The 22685-nt window shown below is 40.8% G+C and overlaps 1 protein-coding gene and 1 non-coding gene across 32 annotated transcripts in view, besides 5 other annotated features; both read left to right on the top strand.

Moving 5' to 3' along the window:
- Positions 1-22685, top strand: part of IGF2BP2 (insulin like growth factor 2 mRNA binding protein 2) — a 181913-nt gene that overhangs the window by 43702 nt on the left and 115526 nt on the right. The window lies entirely within an intron of this gene.
- Positions 769-1269: an enhancer, noted in NCBI's record as "H3K4me1 hESC enhancer chr3:185497860-185498360 (GRCh37/hg19 assembly coordinates)". NCBI's record gives its function as "activates a minimal SCP1, AML or CMV promoter by ChIP-STARR-seq in naive H9 embryonic stem cells {active_cell/tissue: H9 hESC(naive)}" and the evidence as "EXISTENCE:reporter gene assay evidence [ECO:0000049][PMID:30033119]".
- Positions 1357-2254: an enhancer, noted in NCBI's record as "NANOG-H3K27ac hESC enhancer chr3:185496875-185497772 (GRCh37/hg19 assembly coordinates)". NCBI's record gives its function as "activates a minimal SCP1, AML or CMV promoter by ChIP-STARR-seq in naive H9 embryonic stem cells {active_cell/tissue: H9 hESC(naive)}" and the evidence as "EXISTENCE:reporter gene assay evidence [ECO:0000049][PMID:30033119]".
- Positions 6837-7689: an enhancer, noted in NCBI's record as "NANOG-H3K27ac-H3K4me1 hESC enhancer chr3:185491440-185492292 (GRCh37/hg19 assembly coordinates)". NCBI's record gives its function as "activates a minimal SCP1, AML or CMV promoter by ChIP-STARR-seq in naive H9 embryonic stem cells {active_cell/tissue: H9 hESC(naive)}" and the evidence as "EXISTENCE:reporter gene assay evidence [ECO:0000049][PMID:30033119]".
- Positions 11034-11534: an enhancer, noted in NCBI's record as "H3K4me1 hESC enhancer chr3:185487595-185488095 (GRCh37/hg19 assembly coordinates)". NCBI's record gives its function as "activates a minimal SCP1, AML or CMV promoter by ChIP-STARR-seq in primed H9 embryonic stem cells {active_cell/tissue: H9 hESC(primed)}" and the evidence as "EXISTENCE:reporter gene assay evidence [ECO:0000049][PMID:30033119]".
- Positions 11535-12035: an enhancer, noted in NCBI's record as "H3K4me1 hESC enhancer chr3:185487094-185487594 (GRCh37/hg19 assembly coordinates)". NCBI's record gives its function as "activates a minimal SCP1, AML or CMV promoter by ChIP-STARR-seq in primed H9 embryonic stem cells {active_cell/tissue: H9 hESC(primed)}" and the evidence as "EXISTENCE:reporter gene assay evidence [ECO:0000049][PMID:30033119]".
- On the top strand, positions 13437-13494 carry MIR548AQ (microRNA 548aq). Its single transcript, NR_049838.1, has one exon. It is a non-coding gene; the product is annotated as a microRNA 548aq (primary transcript).

Here is a 22685-nt window from a genome sequence, read left to right as displayed (position 1 = left end):
AACACTGTTGACATTCTCACTATGACATTTCTAATGGATTATCATTGCTGAAGCTGGGAGATGGATACATAGTATTTGTCTGCTTTTGTATTTGTTGAGTTTTTTCCACAATAAAAACAGACAATTTTTTTAAAAATGCAGAATAGCTGGAATTCATCCTTAATCTACTTTATGTTGAGGATAGGGTAGTAGTATTTTTTTGCAGCCTTATTTCCTTGGGTTGTTCAAGGCAAGGTATTGGAAAAGTTAAAAAACTCAAATAACTAGATTTGAGAGCCCCAAAGTGTACATATTATTTGAATTCTAATGTTTCTCCTGAGAATTTCCAACCTGAAGCTGCCAAAAAACTGCCTTAAAATGTGGATAGGTATTATATTTAAATATGACAGTGTGGCAAATGTGGTGTAATTGAAATGATAGAGGACTTGGAATCACAAGATGTGAGCCAAGGTCTAGCTTTGCCACTTACTGGTTAGATAGTCCGTAGACATATCATGCAACCTTTCTGAGCTGGTTTCTTCGGCTATAAAATGGGGACGATATGTGCTCTGTGCACTTCTTAGGGATCTTAAAAATATATTATTATGATTATACATAGCCTGGTGAGTAATTCATTTAGGTAGAATTCATATCATCCGTGGGAATGTGCAGTAGCAGAAGGAATCACGTATATAACATGTTTTCAGGTAGCTCACAGACAAATGAAAAAAGCTACCTTTCTGTGTATACACAGAAAAACCAACATCATACCACTTTTGAAGACCTTTTTAAATAGCGCAGAATATACGCAGTAGCAGCTGAATGTGTATGTGGGAGAAAACGCGAGAAAAAATGGTCTGTGCCAGTGTACCAAATACCCGCAGTTTGCTGAAGATCTTTAAATTTTCTGTCCATCTTTCTGCAGCCTTATCCTGAACATATGTTCTCTCCATAAACTCATTTGGCCAAGGAACTATATAGCTACTTGAAAAATATTTGTCCCACAGGTGATAAGTGATGTATTCTCCTTTCAATTAATAAGCAAATAGAACATCATAATCCTCTTTTAACCTCCCATCCCTAATCCTGGTCCCTTTCCTCCTTTCCCAGTTGTAACCACTATTTCCTTTCATTATCTGTCTTTCCAGACCTTTTCTCTTCCTTTACATATGCGTATATGTATCCAGAGAGAATATATAATGAGGCATTTGTGTTTCTTTTCTTTTACTTTAAACAACTGTCATACTAAGTGGAACATTCCACAACTGGCTTTTTTCACGCAACATGTCTAGAACTTTCCATGATCTGGCTCATTCACTTTAGCCTCCGTTTACTGTCTGTACTGGTTTGTTTTGCCATTTGCCTATGGTTAGGCTGTTTCCAATTCCAAACATGCTGCAATAAACATCTTTGTAATATCCTGTTATTTACGCTTATATACAAGTATTTCTCTAGGGTAGGGATTGAGAAGTGGAATTGCTAAGTCTTAAATCATATACCTTTACATTTTATTGTTTAATGGCAAATAACTCTCCCAAGTAAAATGAACACTGTATTTTATACTTTGGTTTCTTGCCCAGCTTTTCAGAATGGCAATAGGAGAAGCTTTCAGAGGACAGTTACGGTGGTCTAGAGTAGACCAGTGCTTTTGTAAACCTTAGCGTGCAGACTCATTACCTGGGGATTTTGTTAAAATGTAAATTGTGACTCAGTAAGTTTGGAATGAGGCCTGGGGGTCTGTAGTTTTAACAAGCTCCCAGTTGGTGATCAGGGACCACACTTGGAATAGCAAGAATCTTGCTCCAGTTCATTTTTTAGCATTGTGTGGAAGTTATTTTATGGGTGTGTGTGCCCATGTATTAACTCATGGACACAAGCATGTTTCCTAGGAAGCTATGTTTTGCCAGAATTTGGACCATAGCCCCCAGTCATCTTGACCTTTAAAGTTAGATACTGTGAACATTTATGGCAAAATGTTGATGGTGATTGAAACTGGGTGAAGGGTGCTGTAGATCTGTTGTATGTCTCTACTTTTGTGCAGAGAATTCTGTGGAAATGCTCACAATACACTTTGAAAATAGAAGAAAGATCCCTTTAAAGTTTGAGTTATTCCTAAAGATTTTCAGCTTGGTACATGCTGCCATGCCTTTCCTAGATTTCCTGTGGTAGATGATTTGGAAGTGTTTTATTTTAATCAGTAGTGTATTTTGACTCATGAGTTTTAATTTTAGCATATCAAAGTATTTTTAGAAGTTTAAAAATAACTGCAAAAAAAAAAAAAGCTTTGTTCCATATCTGCCTACCTTAGCAGCTCAGTCAAATCACCCTCAGCCTTCCTTTTTCAAGAGAGGATGCCATAGAGCGGCATACACCATGATCACTGCATGGTAGTGTGTTAGCTCTGGAGGCACTTTAGAGAAGGAACCTCTAAGGCCAGAGTGCCCATGTTGACTTATTGGTGATCACCTGAACACTGTTATGTAAGGTTTTGAGGTCTCATCTGGGTTCAACAGAAAAGATTTCTGTGATTAACTAGCAATGTTGGTCAGAGTGTGCTGGATTGGAGAATTGTAGCACAAATAGCATGTATTGGTTGACTCTGGTTCAGTGAAAGTAGTTATTTTATAGTTGAGAAAACAAGACACCAAAAATGTAAATGACCTGTCTTGGGTTCATGGTTAGCAGAAGAGCTAGTCCTGTAGAACCAGGTGTCCAGATTCCGAGTCTAGTTCCCTTCCTGCTGTGCCATCCTGATAATGAGACTGTGACTAGCTGTAGAGTACTTGCATGTTGAAGCAACTTGGTAGAGGGGAAGGCATTATTCGCCTTTTAACTAGGTGATCTTGGGCAAATCAGTTAATCCTGAGAGGGAATATACAGCAGGTCCCAAATAATGTCATTCAGTTTTATGTTGCTTTATTATAATGTTGATGAGAAAAAAGTTGACTCCTGGCTAGGCCGCTGTGTAGAATTTGCACATTCTCCCTGTCTGTGTGGCTTTTCTCTGAGTACTCCAGTTTCCTCCCATATTCTAAAGTTGCACACATTAGGTTAATTGGCGTGTCTAAGTTGTCCCTGTCTGAGTGAGTGTGGGGGTGTGTGTGAGTGCCGTGAGATGGAATGGTGTCCTGTCCAGGGTTGCTTCTGGCCTTGTGCCCTGAGCTGCCAAGACGTGCTCCAGCTACTCTCAACTTTGTATTGGAATAAGCAGGTTGGAAAATGAATGAATGAATGAATATAAATTACTGTAAAATGAAAGTAGATGGTAGTACAAATGCATGACAGTAAGTGATACAGCACAACAATGCTCAGCGAGCCTCCACATTTGTGATTTTTTTTTTTTTGACGGAGTCTCACTCTTGCAATCTCGGCTCACTGCAACCTCCACCTCCTGGGTTCAAGAGATTCTCCTGCCTCAGCCTCCCAAGTAGCTGGGATTACAGATGTGCATCACTGTGCCGGGCTAATTTTTTTGTATATTTAGTAGAAACAGGATTTCACCATGTTGACCGGGTTGGTCTCGACCTCCTGACCTCAGGAGATCTGCCTGCCTTGGCCTCCCAAAGTGCTGGGATTACAGGTGTGAGCCACTGTGCCCAGCCCTTGTGATGGTTTTTGAACTGTGTGGTGATAGGAGATGCTCCTTACAATTTTAGCTTTGCAAACATTTATTCCTTGATTTAACCCACCACCATTATGACTGACATCACTCACTGATTCACTGAAAATTGGGTAAATAATGATCTTACTTGTTTTTATGAATATTTCTTAGATGTGTGCATAGCTCATTTATTTAAATGTTTAAAATTGAAAGTGTTTTGGGGTTTTTCTTTTAGAAGTTTGGTGATTTTGTTATTGTTGTTGTTTTTTTGAGACAGGGTCTTGCTCTGTCACCCAGGCTAGAGGCTAGTGGTGCGATCTTGGCTCACTGCAGCTTCGACTTCCTGGGCCCAAGCCATCCTCCTGAATAGCTGGGACTACAGGCATGAGCCACCATGCTTAGCTAATTTTTTTTGTTTTGTTTTGGTTTTGGTTTTGGCTAATCTTTTATTTTTTTAGAGACAAGGTTTTGCCATGTTGCCCAGGCTGGTGGTTTTGTGACCAGAAATATACCTTAAAAACTTAACTCTTCTTTATATTAACTAGCCTATGGTAAAATTGGTTTTGTTACACATCATTTTGCTTAAAGTTGCAGTTTCCAAGAAGCTATTGACAACATTAAGTGAGGACTTCCTGTAGTTTCTTCTTTTGGAGGCAACTATCTCTCTTTTCACTTTGGCCACTAGGAAGCTCAGAGCCAAACTCATAGCTCTAATGTAGCAACTCTTTAGTACCCTTTTGAACTGAATAATTGTATTTTAACCCTACTTTCTTTCTGAGTCTGCTTCTGTCTTGACCTCCTAATCTAATTTCCTATTTTCTTACCCTGATGTATTCATTTCATTTATATTGCACTGTTTTATTGTATGTCTTTACCATAAGCTGCCTCAAATATTTGTGAAACAGATGGTATATAAATAAAGAACATTGGAATGTTTGAGAAAGTTGTTGTTGACAAGACCGATGAAGATGAAAATAGTGTAGTTCTGAGAAAATGTTGGTTGCTGTGGCATCTGCTCTTTTTTTCTCCCTTGCACTCTTATCTCCTGGGGTGGTCCATCTTCGTTACCTTCAACTCCCATGACACCCCTGCTGTGGCTTTGGCTGCATTCTGGAGTCTTCTCTATCTCCGCCCTCACCCTGGATTCACAAATGCAGATCTGTATTTCTGACTTCCTTCCTATTGGATAGCTCCATCTGAATGTCCCTAAGTCCCTCAACTCAACACGTTCAAAACGAGGCTCAGCATCCTTTCCCCCAGATCCTCTCTGCCTGGATCTCAGTTGCACCACCATCAACTTCATTTCTCCAGTCAGTAACCCGGTCCTCACTTTTTACTTTTTCCATTTTCTGATCCTTCACATCCAATCCACAACTAAGACCTGTCACTTTAAATTATAAACATGTTGTGGATCTGTTCTCTCTACTCCATACTACCTATAAGGCTCTTTGGAGTTTTTAATCTATCCTTGCCTACCTTGGGGTTTTTATTTTATTTTTATTTATTATTTTTTTAGAGGCAGAGTCTCACTTCTTTCACACAGGCTGGAGTACAGTGGCATGATCGTAGCTTACTACAGCCTTGAATTCCTGGGCTCAAGTGATCTTCCCACCTCAGCTGCCCAGGTAGCTGGGACTACAGGTGTGCACTACCACACCCAGCTAATTTGTTAAGTTTTTTATAAAGACGTGACCTCACTGTGTTGTCCAGGTTCGTCTCAAACTCCTGGGCTCAAGTGATTATCCCGCCTTGGCCACCCAAAGTGCTGGGATTGCAGGCTTGAGCCACCTTGCCATTTGCCTATTGCTAGGCTGTTTCCAATTCCAAACATGCTGCAATAAACATTTTTGTAATATCCTATTATTCACGCTTATATATAAGTATTTCTCTAGGGTAGGGATTGAGAAGTGGAATTGCTAGTTCTTAAATTATACCTTTACATTTTATTAGTGCTTGGACTGGCGTTTTTATTATTGCAGTAATCTTCACTCAGCCATCTTCTTTTATTTCCCTAACCCAGCCCATCCTTTGTCCTACAGTCAGTGATCTCCATTTCTCTTCAAGCTAAAGTTCAAATATCTTAGACCTTTCATACATTGCTTTTGCTAAGCTTATTAGTCTTATGTTTTGCCATTCCCCAACCTTGCTCAGAATGATGTTCCCTCTCCTATTCTGTTGGTGCACTCCAGTTCACCTTTCTCCTTGCTCTGGATCATTCTCCTTCCTTGGAACTCTCAGGCTGCTTCTTTGGCTTGTCAAGATCCTATGTACATCTCTGTTCTAGCTCTTACCATTGTGTGATGTGTTGTTTAAATGATCATCTTCCACTTGATTGGATGCTGTTTGGAGGGTCCAGATTGCGGCTTCTGAGTCTCTGTCTCCAGAGTTTAGCCACATATAAGATATCATAAGTGTTCATTGAAATGTTTGCTGAATGAAGGCACTGCAATTCTTGGAACAACTCCTTTACAAAACAACACCAGTAATATGGGTATTAATCACACATCAACAGTTATTACTGCCATCATTTACTGAGCTCTCACAAGGCAGGTATTGTTGTAAATGCTTTGCATGTTTTTCTCATATAACTTCTGAACAGTCCTATGAGGTCAGTGCTGTTATTATTCTTTTACAAATAAAGAAACTGAGACCATAGAGCTTAAGTAACTTGCTAGAGTTCATCCAGACAAGTGTTGGAGCCAAAATCTGAACCCAGCTCCCTCTTTTTTTTTTTTTCTTTTTAGACGGAGTCTGACTCTGTTGCCCAGGCTGGAGTGCAGTGGCACAATCTGGGCTCACTGCAAGCCCCGCCTCCCAGGTTCAAGAGATTCTCCTGCCTCAGCCTCCCAAGTAGCTGGGACTACAGGAGCCCACCAGCATCCCCGGCTAATTTTTGTATTTTTAGTAGAGACGGGGTTTCATCATATTGGCCAGGCTGGTCTGATACTCCTGACCTTGTGATCTGCCGTGACCTTGTGATCTGCCCACCTTGGTCTCCCAAAGTGCTGGGATTACAGGTGTGAGCCACCACGCCCGTCCCCAGCCGCCTCTTAACTGTCACATATACTGTCTGTGAGACTTATTTATCAATGGGAAAGCAGGAGTTGGCCCCACTGGTGTTTCTTGAAGTTGTTTTTACTTTCTTTTCTTTTCTTTTTTTTTTTTTGAGACAGAGTCTCGCTCTGTTGCCCAGGCTGGAGTGCAGTGGCGCGATCTCAGCTCACTGCAAGCTCTGCCTCCAGGGTTCACTCCATTCTCCTGCCTCAGCCTCCTGAGTAGCTGGGACTATAGGTGCCTGCCACCATGCCTGGCTAATTTTTTGTATTTTTAGTAGAGACAGGGTTTCAATGTGTTAGTCAAGATGGTCTCTATCTCCTGACCTCGTGATCCGCCCACCTCGGCCTCCCAAAGTGCAGGCCTTACAGGCGGGAACCACCATGCCCGGCCTGTTTTTACTTTCTTAGTCCGTGATTTAGCAGTAGTAGAGGAAAACAAGCAGACATCTGAAACCTGGTGAAAGTCATTGAAACCATGCAAGCCCTGTGTAACCGTCTCCCTCCTGCTTGCTTGTGCTCTAGACTGTCCATACCCGCCTCAATTGTATGAACTGGAGTAAGGATGAGGCCATAATTATTTGCCCTTCCAGAAAGGCACACATTCTGGCACTCCTCCAGAAAATTGTGTTCAGCACTGTGTTAAGGAGAGGTAGAGAACAGCAGGCAGCTCTCACTCCAGCCAGAGATCAAAAGAGATTTGTTTCTCCTCTCAGTCAGTGAAGTCAGGACTTCCAGGAAGGGAGGGCCAGAAGTGAGAAGATCTCCGCGAAGGAGCTGAGAAAGTATTTGTCTTTGTTAGATCACTTGCATGAGTGTGCTCAGCACGTTAAAAATGTGGCACAAGGGCTTTTAGAGCACTTGTTTTTAAACGAGTATTCAGACTGCAAGTAAAATTGAGCTAATGAAAAGAAAATTGTGAGAATTTAAGCCTAAGAAGTTACACTGAGAAATTTCAGCAAGAAAAAGAAAGTGGCATGAGAAGATGAGTTGATCAAAGGAATTGTAAAGTACTGTAGGGATAAGGCCAGTTGCTCATTTTTCTATGAGCAACTGATCATGTTTCTTTTGACCTTATAAATAAACCCCTCCTTGGCCTTCCTAACTTAGTTTTTATGTAGGAAATTTAAACTTACCTAAAGTCTATTTTGTTCTGTTTTTAACTAAGTAGTTTTAAGCATAAACACTGAATTTTAAAACCATATATCTGGGGAAAATTTCCTACTTCTAAAAATTATCTATTCATGTATATTTCCATTTGAATGTGTAATCTGCACTCAAACTTTGTATGGGAACAATTTATATTTATTTAGTACTTCCGCCTGTTAAATTATTTGAAGGTCTAATAGATCATTCTGTCTTAGCCAAAAGCTCAAGTTCTATAGTCTATAGTGTTATAATAGTGATTATTCCTCCTTAACAATATAGACAAGTAGGAATTATCTGTTTTACTAATCAACACACAGAGCAGGTAAATGGCTCAGTAATAGGAGTTAGAATAGCACCTAGGAGGTATAAAAATGTGGCCAGCTATCTTTTTGGTTTGTCTGCTTACCTGGTCCTTAGTGAAGAGATTTGGAATGGTATTGTGCTATTTAGCCTCCTGGGTAGCAGTCACGTGCTTTGCTGCTCTTGGGAACCTAATTGGTACCCTGATGGGGTTAGTTATCAGGCCTCCTGGAGCACCTCTATATTCCCTTGCAGACACCATTTAAATCCTGGAGCTTGGGAAGCAGGGATGAAGTCTTCTGCCCATTCATTAATAGATGGCCCAGGCTATGACATTATTGAGAGCAGACATTTAGAAGGGCGAAAGAGAAGGAAAGGGCCGGGCACGGTGGCTCACGCCTGTAATCCCAGCACTTTGGGAGGCTGAGGTGGGTGGATCACCTGAGGTCAGGAGTTTAAGACTAGCCTGGCTAACATGGTGAAACCCCGTCTGTACTAAAAATACAAAAATTAGCTGGGCATGGTGGCGCATGCCTGTAGTCCCAGCTACTTGGGAGGCTGAGACAGGAGAATCGCTTGAATCTGGGAGGCAGAGTTTGCAGTGAGCTGAGGTTGCACCACTGCACTCCAGCCTGGGCGACACAGCGAGACTTTGTCTCAAAAAAAAAAAAAAAAAAAAAAGAGAGAGAAGGGAAGAAAAGGAGTTGTATAGGGATTATCCCATTGTAATGATTGATGATGATATAGTGATATAATACACTATGTACAGCCGTTGTAGTACTGAATTGCTAACTTGTGAAGGAGAGATGAGAATCTTTCAGATACAGAAGCATGAGGAGTAGATATTTGGGAAAAGATAAATTTGAAAATATTTAGATATCGTGTGGAAGGTTGGTAAAGACCAAGCTCTACAGAGCCTAGCGTTTTCTCTTCAGCAAATAGAACAGCCCACTGAATAAAACTTACAGTAGGGAAAACTCTTTAAGGAAGGCTCACAGTATTCATTATTCAGCAAACATTTTTGAGTATCTAAACATTTTTGTAGTATCGGCCAGGCATTATTCTAGGCACTTGAGCTAGAACAGTGAACAAAACAGACAGAAATCCTTGCCCTTGTAGAGCAAACAATTTAGTGTGGACAAGCAGAAAAGAAACCAAATAAATACATAAAATGTATTATCTAGAGCCTTTTGGTTCTGAGTAATAGAAACAGAATCAAGCTAGCTTAAGCAAAAGGAGTTGCTGTGAAGGAGTTTCTGACTGGCTCTGTTTGGGGCAGAGATGCCTACTTCTGACCTAACCAGATATGGCCACAGTGACAGGGTTCCAGGATATAAACACCGCCTCCAGAAGCCCACCTCTGTGACAAAGAGGCCGTGTGAGCTGCATAGCCTCAAAAATGGGTCTGTTATAGACCCCAGACCTTTCCAGTTCCATTGTTTTCTTTCATTACCAAGACTAAGTGTTGCAATGCAAGTAAGCTCATAGTATTTGAAATGTACCATTAAAAAAAACTCAGAGGACAAGACTACTTATTCAAACTGTAAGGAAAAATGAGACCATAGGAAGAAGAGAAAGAGATTCACTAATTTATTGAAATTGTTGAGAAGCGACGGCAGCCAGAGCCTTGGTTATCTAGAAAGTTTTTGGAAAGTGGAAAGTTTACCTCCTTAAGCAAATGTTTTAGGAGTTTTGGATATCAGTCTTTCTAAAATGGATTTCTCATTACCTACATGTTTTAGCAGAGTCTCATAAACATATTTTAATTGTAAAACAGTTAAAACAGTGATTATATTTAGATTCTTTTTTTTTTTTTTTTGAGACGAAGTCTTACTCTTTCGCCCAGGCTGGAGTGCAGTGGCTCAATCTCAGCCCACTGCAACTCCACCTCCCAGGTTCACGTGATTCTCCTGCCTCAGCCACCCAAGTAGCTGGGATTATAGGCGTGCACCACCACACCTGGCTATTTTTTATATTTTTAGTAGAGACAGGGGTTTCACCATCTTGGCCAGGCTGGTCTCGAACTCCTGGCCTCAAGTGATCGGCCCAACTCGCCCTCCCAAAGTGCTGAGGTTACAGGCGTGAGCCACCATGCCTGGCCCATTTAGGCTCTTTTCAAGTTTTGTAGGCCTCCTTGTCCCTCTTCTAGTCTTAGGCTTGTTTACTTTTTAAGTTCTGTGACTGTTCTTTGGATTTTTAAAAGCCGTTTGCTGGGTGCCATGGCTCATGCCTATAATTTCAGCATTTTGGGTAGCCAAGGTGGGAAGATTGCTTGAGGCCAAGAGTTCAAGACCAGTCTGGGCAACATAGTGAGTCTCCCTCTCTACCAAAAAAGGATAAATTAGCCAGATGTGGTCATGCACATCTGTAGTCCTAGCTGCTAGAGAGGCTGAGGTGGGAGGATTACTTCAGCCCAGGAGTTTGAAGCTGCAGTGAGCTATAATTGTGCCACTGCACTCCAGCCTGGGCAACAGTGAGACCCTGTCTCTAACTAAAAGACAAATAGAACAGAAACCTTTCCACAAGATCATCTATTACAGTCTCTTTGTGCTGCTCTGACTGTGACTGCCTAGAGGGGCTCCTCCTCTCATAATTTGTATGTGCTGGTAATTAAGGCACCTCCACCTTGGGTGTCACAGGTGCTATGGGAAACATAACAGACTCTGGGTGAGTCTTGAGTCTGTTACCAATTTTCCAGATTACACAGGCAAGCCATTTAACTTCTCAGTCTTTTTAAAATCTGGTGCCTTGGAATAAAGGCCTATGGGGTCATAACCAAAGGAGCAAATAAGATGCTTGTGAAAATACTTTCCAATGTATAAAATCCTTTTTAAATATAACCCACTACTCTTTCTCACTCTGACATGGTGAATCTCTGTTCGTTGGTTTTGCTTTTCCTATCACATCCCATTTTCCTTGAGAGAACTGGAGTTTCCCGTAAATCACCAGATATGCTCCCTCGGGTTGGCCGGTCCTGCTCGACCAGTCCTGAGTCCTAACTATGTGGTGTGCTATGACAGAGCAAGGGTAGAGACTTCATTTTTCTGATGTAAATTACACGCCCGCCACCACATCCCTTCTTATGAGACGTAGATTCTGTTGACATAGGAGCCTAAGAGAGAGACCATCCCCCAGTTCTGCTTCCTTGAGGACATAGAGAGAAGGCTCAGGATTCGTTTCCCTTCCAGGGGTTCCCAGATCTTATTGGGTTTGTGTGGGCCTCTGGTCCCCAGGGGCCGAACTTTGGGAAGAGGGATACAGTGGCTGCTGCTATAGGCAGTTGGCACTTCTTTAGAGATAAAATGTGAAAAGATGGTTTGTGGATTTTGCCTAATAGATAGTAAGCATGACAGAAACACAGACCTCTTGGTTCATGTGGTTTTGTGACTGAGATGAAATTGTTTCTTTTTTTTTTTTTTTTTTTTTTTGGAGACAGGGTCTCATTCTATCATCCAGGCGGGAGTGCAGTGGCAGTGACCACAGTTCACTGCAGCATTGACCTCCTGGGCTCAATCGATCCTTCCACCTCAGCCTCCTGAGTAGCTGGGACCACAGGTGTGCATCACCATTAATTAAAATTTTTTGTAGAAATAGGATCTTGGTATGTTGCCCAGGATGGTCTTGAACTCCTGGGCTCAAGCTATCCTTCTGCCTCAAACCTCCAAAAGTGTTGGGATTACAAGCGTGAGCCACCGTGCCAGGCCATTTCTAATCTTTGGAGACCATGATTTCTCTGTCTGTAAAATGCACTTGAGAGCAAATTGAAGAGTGGCCTTTGAGCTGAATACCTTTACTTGGTTATGGCATTCACTATTTAAGAGTTACAGGTTCTTCTGAGTGTTTGCTGTCTCTTTATAACTTCCGTTTTAAACAATAGATTCACCTTTTTTTTAAAAAAAATTTGGAGACAGGGTGTCATTCTGTCTCTTAGGCTGGAGTGCAGTGGCATGATCATGGATGTCTCATTGCAACCTCAAACTCGAGGGGCCAAGTCCTCCTTCCACCTCAACTCCTTGGCCTAATCCATCCTCCCATCCTCCTCAGCCTCCCCATGCTCAGCTAATTTTTAAAAATTTTTATAGAGGTGGGGGTTTTGCTGTGTTGCCCAGGCTGATCTCAAATGCCTGGCCTCAAGTGATTCTCCCACCTTGGTCTCTCAAAATGTTGGGATTACAGGCGTGGACCACCGCGCCCCGCCCAGGTTCAACCTTTTTTTTGTTTTGATTTGTTTTGAGACGGAGTCTCACTCTGTCGCCCAGGCTGGAGTGCAGTGGCGTAATCTCAGCTCACTGCAATCTCCACCTCCCAGGTTCAAGCAATTCTCCTGTCTCAGCCTCCTGAGTAGCTGGGACTACAGGCGCATGCCACCACATCTGGCTAATTTCTGTATTTTTAGAAGAGATGGAGTTTCACCATATTGGTCAGGCTAGTCTCCCTGACCTCAGGTGATCCACCCGCCTCAGCCTCCCAAAGTGCTGGGATGACAGGCGTAAAAGCCACCACGCCTGGCTTAGATTCAACCTTTTAAAGGTGCTTATTGATCTATCAGAAGCTTCAAAGTGAAAGCATGATACTCCACCACTAGAGGGCAGTGCTGTCCTAGTCACATGATCTGAATCTACAAATTGCTGAATTTGAAGCTTCCTTCAGTCCTCCACAGAATTAGACAGAAAATTTATATCATTTTTATATGTATTAAGTATATACATATTCAAAATATAATTTAAATATTTAAGTAGTATTAAAGGACCTTTTAAAAATACTTAGATTGACTTAAAAGGGTTAACATGCAGTTCTTTATCATTATCATATTCTTTACCAAGTTAAACTGAATCCCACAGAAAAAAATCTATCCTGAAGGTTTGTAGTTCATCATCAGCCCTCGGGTTAGCTCAGCATCGTGACACCTCTAACTACATACTCATGTCGCCCAGGTTCTTCACTGTTTCACTTACAGGGATGCCATGCATCTGGCTGAGGATGTTTTAATTAACAATAGAGATACTCTTGGGAAAGTTCTCAACTTTCCTTTTTCCTTTTTCTGTAGGAGGTAAAGAGCTAAATAAATGTTTATATAGTGTCATGATGCCACTAAGAAAATAACAGCCCCTTTGTCTCTTTTCCCTCAATCATAAGGAAGTTATGACCTGAATAGAAAGACAAAGCAGTACCCTTCTGTGTTTTTCTCAAGTGAGAACATTTTTTTCTTTTGCATAAAGTCACAAAAGTGTATATAAGGGCTGAGGATCTGGTAATTGTCCACATTTCAGATTTTTTTAAGGAAATATTCCTAGAAGTATAATTGGATTAAAGAGTAATATAAGGATTAAGACACTTGCTATTTAGGTTGGTGTGAAAGTAATTGCTGTTTTTGCCATTACTTTCAGTGGCAAAAACTGCAATTACTTTTGCATTAACCTAAAATAATCATTGCCAATGCTTTCCAAAATGGCTGCACTAAAATATATCCCCTGAACAGTACATGAAATCATTTTCAACCCTAATACATTCCATAATTTCACCCAACATATTCCAGAATTGTATTCCTCATTTCAGCAGCCTTATTTTAAAATATTTTATAATTATAAACTTTTTTTTCCAAGTAGAAGGTATGTTGATCAATATTTCCCCAAATATATTACTGTACTGGTAAGACATATTAAAAAATGGTTCAGTGGTCAAATACATTTTTCAAATGTTGTATACTTGTCCCTTTCTTGGAGATTTGTGAAGCACACATGCATTTTAAGGCTCTGAGAAGTCCTGTAGTAAAGAAATCTGTTTAACTTGATGTTTTATAATTTATTTACATAACTACAGAATCCTTTAACATCTTATGGAAATGGGATTGGATTTTAGAAGATAGTAATGATGGTGGGAAGTTGTTCTGGAAGGTTTTAGGAAACACTGTAGTATTATAAGGATTTCTTCTGAACTTGTGTTGGTCTCTGGTCATCGTTGTGGAGAACAGAATCCACAGAGTAGCTAGATTAAGCACAAAAGAATGCATTGAGGTATATAGATAGATCACAGAATTGTCGGACAGGCTGAAGAAACAGGCTGCAGGTGGAGCTTCTTGATAGTCTGCAGAACTGGTCTGCCAAGAGAGCTGTTGCCTATGCCACCATCGAGAAGCTTCTCCCACAACTGCCTCTGCCAGATTGGGAAGCCACTGGGTCCACAGTTGTGTGTCTCTATCCTAGCAGGAAGTGGGGCTGGGCAGTTTGTTTTCAGTCCTATTTTAGGAAGGAGGGACTTTACACTAAGGTGAACTATCAAATGTGGAGAGAATGTCTAAAAGACGGCAGCTACAATTAGCAGGCATCCAAGAAGACAGCTGTGTGTTGTGAACACCTTGGGATATAGGTCAGAAAACTGGGGTGTAGCCCTGGCCTTGCCTCTTAACTGCTGCATGACCTTGGGCAAGTCCACTTTCAAACTTGCGATCTCATCTCTAAACAGGATATAACTCACTGACTTGGAGTGAAGATAAAATGAAAGTAATAGGTGTGAATATACCAGGGAAAACTATAAAGTATTAAATGAAATCAGTAAAAAGTATTTTTCACAACCCAGGTTTGTCTCTAGACCAGGGGTTGGCAAACTTTTTCTGTAAAGCACTAGCTAGTAAATATTTTTGGCTTGTTAGATGATACTATCCCTTTAGTACCTATTCAACTCTGCAAGAGCAGCCATAGACAATATGTAAATGGATGAGCATGGCTGTGTTCCAATAAAACTTTATTTATGGACACTGAGATTTGAATTTTGTATAATTTTCACATGTCACGGAATATTCTTTTTATTTTTTTTCCAACCATTTAAAAAAAGGGAAAAACATTCTTAGCTTGTAGACTATACAAAAACAGGTGGCTGGCTGGATTTGACCTATCAACCGTAGTTTGTTGGTCCACGTTCTAGATCATTATACTTAAAATATTTTAAAATGTATTTAAATTTAAATTTAAAATATTTTAAATTGTTTTGCCTTAATGTAGTGGCAAATAAATTTGGGGCTTTGATGATATTGTCTAAATAGTTTTATTGCTATTCACTGGACCTGGTAGTAGCTTCCTCTTTGATAGTAGAATTAAATATGCTTAGTGGCCGTGTATAGCACCTTGGGCTTTATTTAGGTGAAAGCATCCCGAGAAGGATGAGTTTGCTACCCAGCCATCGGGTTCTTAGAACCTCCACATTTTCTCCCATCTTCATGTGTGCCTTTGGTTTTGGAAAAGGGATGGGGCAGTCAGATACTTCTTTTATGGGAAAAGTTGCATTTGGAGACATTCCCATACCCATGCCCACAAACTCTCCTCCGTAAACCTGCCTCATTCCCTTCTTTGGCATGTTCCGTATTTAGCTTTACAGCTTTGCTGCCTTGTGGACAAGAATTTTCCCCCCAAAATCTTGTTACCATTATAATATCTTCATCCCTATTAGAAAACCAGAATCAGAGTGTCTTCCTTGCACCCAAGTCCCATAGAATTTCTTTCAGCCAATGAAAGTCAAAGATAAGTTTGACATCAGTCACTGGAGATGAAGATGTGGGGTGAAGCTGCTGCAGTGGTGTGCTTTGGAGCAGCCTGGTCTACACTCCCTTGGTCCTCGAGCACTTCTGCGTGCCTTTCATGTATTAATAGATGGACCTTTCTCAATTCTCCTCTTTTCCCTCTAGGTGCAGGTGGAGTGTAGAGTGTGATGTAGGTACACTGGCATCTAGAAATGGAGAGCATAGAGGTGGGGGTGGCACTGAAGGAGGGCAGTGTGGGATCAAGGGGGGAAGGAGTGGTCTGAGATTAAGGAGGGGAGGTGGTGTGTTTGCCTTTCTAGGCGCACCTGCTACTTGGTGTGAGACAGGTGAGGCTGTGAGCTGTCTTTGGAGGAGGAGAGTACTTCTTAGTATATGAATGTTTGTATGAGCTTTAACTCAGGTTTACTGATTGAAAGAAACTATATTTAATTTTGCTTTGTATGTATCCCTTTTATTTGGGCTTTACTAAATATAGCTGGATGGGAGGGACGGAGGGGGAAACAGTGTGTAGAGCAGAAGTTAAAACACGCCAGAGCTTTGGCAGCTTTGGGACAGAAAAATAAAACTTTAAACTTGCTTTCTATTTTGAGGCCATCACAAGATGTTTTGTGCTTACATTCATTCCTAAGTCATAAACGGGTAGGAGGGGCTGGGAATTAAGTAAATTATCTCTTGAAAAATACTAATTTGAAATTGAGATAAAATTAGCAAAGGGAAGAAGGGGGAAGAAAGTAAAACACTGGACCCAGCCTGTTTGCAAGCAAAATAATAAACACCTCGTGGGGGTAGAAGAGGCGTGCCAGTGTCCTTCCAGATTTTGGCCTCTGCTCCTACACAGAGCCCCATTGTCTCAGAGCTGGGGGCAAGGCTGAGTGCTGTGAGAACTGACTTGACAAATAAAGCCTGTCAGGGGATTTTGACACAGGTCAACCCCTTCTTGAAGCTGTGATCTCAGAGGCAACACGATTTCTTACTCACAGGCAGTAGCTGTCATACTATGAGCTGTTTTATCGTAATATAATTATCACATACAAGATGTGGTAATTGCCTATTTTTAGGAATCTCCCCACTGGGAATCATGGTGAAGATGATCTCTAGAAAAGCTCTCTGCGGTCCTGTGAAACAACCTCCCTTCTCAAGACAAGACTCCCCTTCCTGATAACCTGTTGCTGCTCTGCAGATTGGTCTCTTCACCTCCATCAAGGGCTTCTTGTCTGTTTCACTGAATATTAGGAATGCTTCTCCCTAGGCTTCAGCCTTGGGCTTTCCCCTCAGGTTCTGCTTGCCCCTTGGGACCTATTTGTGGATCTGCAGCAAAAACATAAGCAGAAGAAGTAGAGAATGTGTGTGAGGAAGCCACTTTGTGCTTCGGACATCTCATAACCCAGCCTCCTAAAGCATAGCCCTGATGAGGTCACATTCCTGCTTAAAAAATCTTTCATGACTGCAGACAGAAAAGACTGAAAGGAAATGTGCCAAAATATTAGCAATTTTTTTTTTCTGAGTGATGAGCTTTCTGGTGATAATTTTTATTTACTTTATGGATTTTACTCCTTTCCAATTACTTATATAATAGACATATAATAGTATTTTTTAAGAAAAGTGTTATTTTTATAATAAGGAAAAGTACCATTTAAAAACCTTTAGTGGCTCCCATTTGCCAATTAAAAATCCTCTCTATGACATTCAAGGTTTTGGCAATACTGCTACAATCCTTCTGACCTCACCCTCTTCTCTCTCTGCCCTCACTCCAAGAAACAGCAGCAGAACGGAGTTACCCACTGTCACCAAATACATTTGGTGCTTTGCCTTTGCTCATGCCCCTTCTCCACCCGTCAACTTTCCATCCTTCAAACAGATTTCTCCTTCTTTAGAGACTGTTTCCCATAACATACATCCTGTAAAAGACTTAAAAAAAACACGCAAAAACAAAGAACATTCTTAATCCCACTTCCTGGAGATAACCACTGTTAGCATTTTGATATATGTCTTTGTTCTGCAGCTGAGAGTAGTCTAGTATACCTTGGCTGTCTGTTACAGATTTTATATTCTATATGGTGGTGTTATTTATTTCTGTCTTATCTCCATTCTGGATTTTAAGTTCCTTGACAGCTACAAGAATGGCTTTACATTTTTGTAGCCTCCACAGGCCTTGAGCACAGTGACATTCACATAATATGCATTCCAAAATCATCTGCTGAATCAAACAAGGGAGATAAGACAAGCTTGTAACTTAAGCACAAACCATAGTAACAAACATAAACATGCTGGTTACATTATGAATATAATGCTGAGTATATCCATAAATGCTTAAGTCGCAGGAGAAATACAAATGCTTTAACCTTGGAGTGTCAGGAACAATTACATGACCAGGGACCTACTAAGGTAGGGTAATTTTGGTACAGTACATGGAGGAGATTCAGCCTTGAAGAGAGAAAAAGCTTGTTTTAAAATGGAAAAAACAAAAACAGAAACCCCACAGATAGGACTTGGTGTAGAAAGAGGAGGTGTTTGTACAGACCATTGATTCTCAACCCAGGTTTATGTTGGAATCACTGGGAAGTTTTTTTAAAAAAAATACCAGTGCCTGGATCCAATCCCAGACCAGTTAAATTAGAATCTCTGGGTGGGCTTAGCTGCTTTATTTTTTGTTGTTAAAAACAAAACAAAACAAAAAAACATCTATACAGGTGATTCTAATGAATCCCTGTTTTGGGATCCCCTGTATCCAGGCTTGAGAATCACATTCTAGGCAGATAAACCTTCTTAACAAATAAAAAGTAAGTATTTTGCTCTTCTCATATTGTTGAAAAAACCAGGAGATTGGTTCATCTTGAGGAAGGGAGGTTTTGGTGGGGGTGAGAATAGCTGCTGCAGATTGTTCTGTGTTAAATGTACTTTAAAGCACTTGGATAAAATTCATCCATTTGCTATTATTAAGAAACTCATCTGTGCCTCTTCAATTGCCCAGACTTTTCTCCCCTCTTGAAGGCTGCTTCTTCCTAGAGCAGTAACTGAAGTAGACTGCAGCCAGTATAAGCTCTATTATTGCATTCACCTCTATTATTATATCTAAGCTTCTTCAAGGGATTTGACCTGTATTCAAATACTATCAAAACACACTGTCTCTCAAACATGGTATTTCCCAAATTTGTGTCTCTTTTTCTTTTTCTTTTCTTTTTTTTTTTTTTTGAGACCGAGCTTCCCTCTGTCACCCAGGCTGGAGTGCAGTGGCATGATCTTGTCTCACTGCAACCTCCACCTCCTAGGTTCAAGCGATTCTCCTGCCTCAGCCTCCTGAGTAGTTGGGACTACAGGCGCCTGCCACCACACCCGGCTTTTTTTTTTTTTTTTTTTTAAGTAAAGCCTGGGTTTCACCATGTTGGCCAGGCTGGTCTCGAACTCCTGACCTCAGGTGATCCACTTGTCTTGGCCTCCGGAAGTGCTAGGATTACAGGTGTGAGCCACCGTGCCTGGCTAATTTTTGTATTTTTCTTTTAGTAGAGACAGGGTTTCACCATGTTGGCCAGGCTGCTCTCGAACTCTTGACCTCAGGTGATCTGCCCATATCGGCCTCCCAAAGTGCTGGGATTACAGGCGTGAGCCACCGCATCTGGCCTTGGGTCTCTTTTTCACATGCTAAAACCTAACACCCACACCACCCAACACTAACAAAACAAATACTAACAAGCAAAAAATTTTATGCAAGCTTTTCTAATAGTACAAAGCATGGTAGAATATCTACAGCAGTTTATCACATGGGAAAGGAAATTCGTGTCCCTTGGTCTAGCTGTCAAGTAACCACGGACCCTAGAATAACACGTTTTTCACTCCGTGCCCCCTTGGATCGAATGCAGGGACTGTTATTTTGCTAAATTGTGCTTTCACGTTCTGAAGCACACTTGCATGTTGTTATGCAGTGGTGTTTAAATCCTAACCAAAGTGTTTTTGTTGCAATGGAAATATTTCAATTAATGTTTAGGGTTGGAACATATAAACAAAGCTTGGGTCCAGATTAGTTGATTAATCATTGCATTCCGGGGTGCAGGAAGAGTTTTGTTGAACTCTATCAGGGGAGGAATTAATATCCTCTGCCTGTGAGGTCTTTCCTGGAGAAAGCTTGGGTTTTAATGTTTCTCCTTACAGGATATTTTTCTTTTGGCAAGAGTAAAGCAACCAGTACCCCCAGTAAAATGTCTTAAATAGCACTTGGGATGGGGATGGTTCTTCACACTCCTGGCAGTGAAGCCGTAGTTCTTGTTCTCTGATGCTGACACGTACACTTCACAGTGAATGCAGTAATATTAATGGAGGCATCAGCCCAGGGCCCCGGAGTGATACCTTCCATGTCTGTTTTCTTCCTTTTGTTTATTTCCCCTGACCATCAAGTCTGTTACGTTTAGTTCTCTAAACTAAAGCTGAATCACTAACATTTCCTTCACTGATCCTGCCCCACACATACACCTCTTTTTTTGTGTGTACAGGAGTAAATTTCACACATCCTCACCCAAGTCGTCTTTGAGGCATTTCTTTTTCTTCTGTATCCTTTCGTTGGAGCCTAACACCATGTTTTTGGGAATATCAGCCTAGGTGTCCATCATCAGAAATAATCATAATCAAATGATATTTTCCTGGGCTTTAAGACATGATAAGATAGTACCAGAATGTCTGAAGATAAATGTTATGCATTCATTCTTTACTGGTTCCCCCCCTCAAAAAAAAGTATTTAAGTACAAAATATTTGAAGTATAAGAAAATATAAGAAAAATGCAAATGAACAAAACAAAAGGAAAATTAAGGTTGAATACTAAAGTGAGGACAGAGGGAAATTTGGTGAGAGAAATGTATGTGATAATATGCTACACAGTTATTAAAGTTGGGCAGCAAGTTTAAGCCTGAACTCTCTAACAGCCATAGCAAAAAGAAACAGCTGATCCTCTGCTCCCAGATTAGGGAGGAGCCAGGAGAGCCTGCTAGGGAATCTTACTCCATGAATGCCGGCCAGATATTCCTCGTATCTCCCAGGAAAGTTACTGCCTTACCTGGGGGTTGGAGGACAGACCCCCAAACAAGTTTACACAGTGTGAGAGTGGAGTAAGAATGTCCGGAAAGGCAAAATCCACAGAGGCAGAAAGCCAGCTGGTGGTTGCCAGGGGCCGGGAAGGGGCGAGGCTGGTGAGGGAGAGACTGCTCATGGGTACAGAGTTTCTTTTTGGGTTAATAGAAATGTTCAGAAGTTAAATAGTGGGGATCACTGCACAGCTTTGTGAATATGCTAGAAATCATTGAACTGTACACTTTAAATGGGTGAGTTTTGTGATGTGAATTACATCTCAATAAAGCTGTTAAAAAATCTTAAGTATGCAATTACAAAAGAGAGTAACATACTGAAGGGAAAAAAAAACTGATGAGTCTAATATTCTTGTCTTCCACAAAATGCACACTTCTCAGGGGACGTGTCATAACCGAGGCACTGCTGTGAGGGAGTTTGGGTCATAGTGGGTAGAAACTGAAATGTGCAGTCCCTAAGTTTCTTTCCATTGTGAACATTCAGTTATTGGCTAACTGTAAAAAGAGGATGGGATTATAAGACAATTGGGGACATTTGAACATTGTAAGGACATATTTGCTAGTATAAGGAAATGGCTTTTCATTGTTAATGTTTGGTAATGGTATTGTGATTTTTAAAAAAATCCTTATCTTTTATATACTGAAGTATTTATAAATAAAATACTATGATACCTGGGTTTCAGTTTAAAATAATCCAGTGGGTATGGTATAGATGAAACAAAATTTGTCATATGTTGGTAACTGTTAAAGCCGGGTTCATCACATCTGTCTACTTTTGTGTAAGTTCAAAATCTTCATAATAAAATGTTAAAATGGATATTATCTTTCGCTGTTAACTACAGAAAGATCTAGCAACATAGCCAGAGTCCTTGCTCATGAGAAATTATGCTATTTGCAGCACTTGTCTCATTGGCTGATTTATGGGCGACTTCTGAGAGATTGGAAGCCTGGGTGCTGGCTCTAAGTCACATGTATAAGTAAGCATGAAATTCTAGTAAGGTCATCCACAGCTTTTTCAGCCTTCCGTGTGCTTCTCAGATACTGCTGCATGGGGCTGTGGAAGGGATGGTTGCCACTCTTAACAGAAAGGCAGAGAATGCTGGACTCTTACCTCTTAAGCGTAGTTTCGCCCTTTACAGTTCATTTTCTCCTGATTCTCCTTTCTCTTCAGTAAGATGTGAGTGCTGAATACTTACATTTAGTGTCATCTTACAGAGGCTATATATTTTAGCAAGGTGCTAAAGAATGGCATTTTTCCTTGACTTCCTTTATGAACTTGAAACACATTCAACTAATCTATGCACATACACCTTTAAGACTGGACAGAAATGGGTAGAGCAGACAGTAGTACATGTTTGAGAGTGAATGCCAGCTTCTGGTTCAATACTTTTTTTCCGTTTCTCTTTGTTCTCAGGAGAGATGGAAACTGGGCATTTGTATTTGCTCCATTTCCTTCTCTGATTGTGAAGACTGGCACTCTTATTCATAGTAACATGTATTGCATTGGTATCCCAGGTGTTATATTACATTGGATACAGAGTTCCATTGTAACTGAAACTCATTCTTGTGTTCAGCAAACATTTGTGTGTCTACTAGGTGTGTCCCCCTCACAGTGGCCTGCATGGGAGCTGAATTCTTACACTGGTTTTGGATTCTCAGCATTACCTTACCTAAAGAACAAACATTGGTTTTAAAAGCAGTAGTGGCCTTCTAGGAGTTTACAAGCTGTTTATCTCAAGGTAAAGGACTGCAGTTAAATCTCCTACCGTGGAGCTCTATCACCCCAAGCAGTTTGAATTGCTGAAAGCAACAAGTGACCATGACACGAGGGTGGTTGGAGATGAGTATTGTATTTAAATGCTTTGGGATAATGTTGCTTATGATGTCAGTGAAACATCTGAGTTTCCACATTACCTAGCCTTTAGTGATAGATACGTGTTCTAAGGCATAAGATAGTTTTATGTCTCCCTCTCTTATTTTTCTCTCTCCCGAAAGGTCT

This window comes from Homo sapiens, chromosome 3 (assembly GCF_000001405.40).
Source record: "Homo sapiens chromosome 3, GRCh38.p14 Primary Assembly".
NCBI classification, from domain to species: domain Eukaryota; kingdom Metazoa; phylum Chordata; class Mammalia; order Primates; family Hominidae; genus Homo; species Homo sapiens.
The sequence above is the reverse complement of the archived record's forward strand: the minus strand, read 5'-3'. Positions and strand labels throughout refer to the sequence as shown.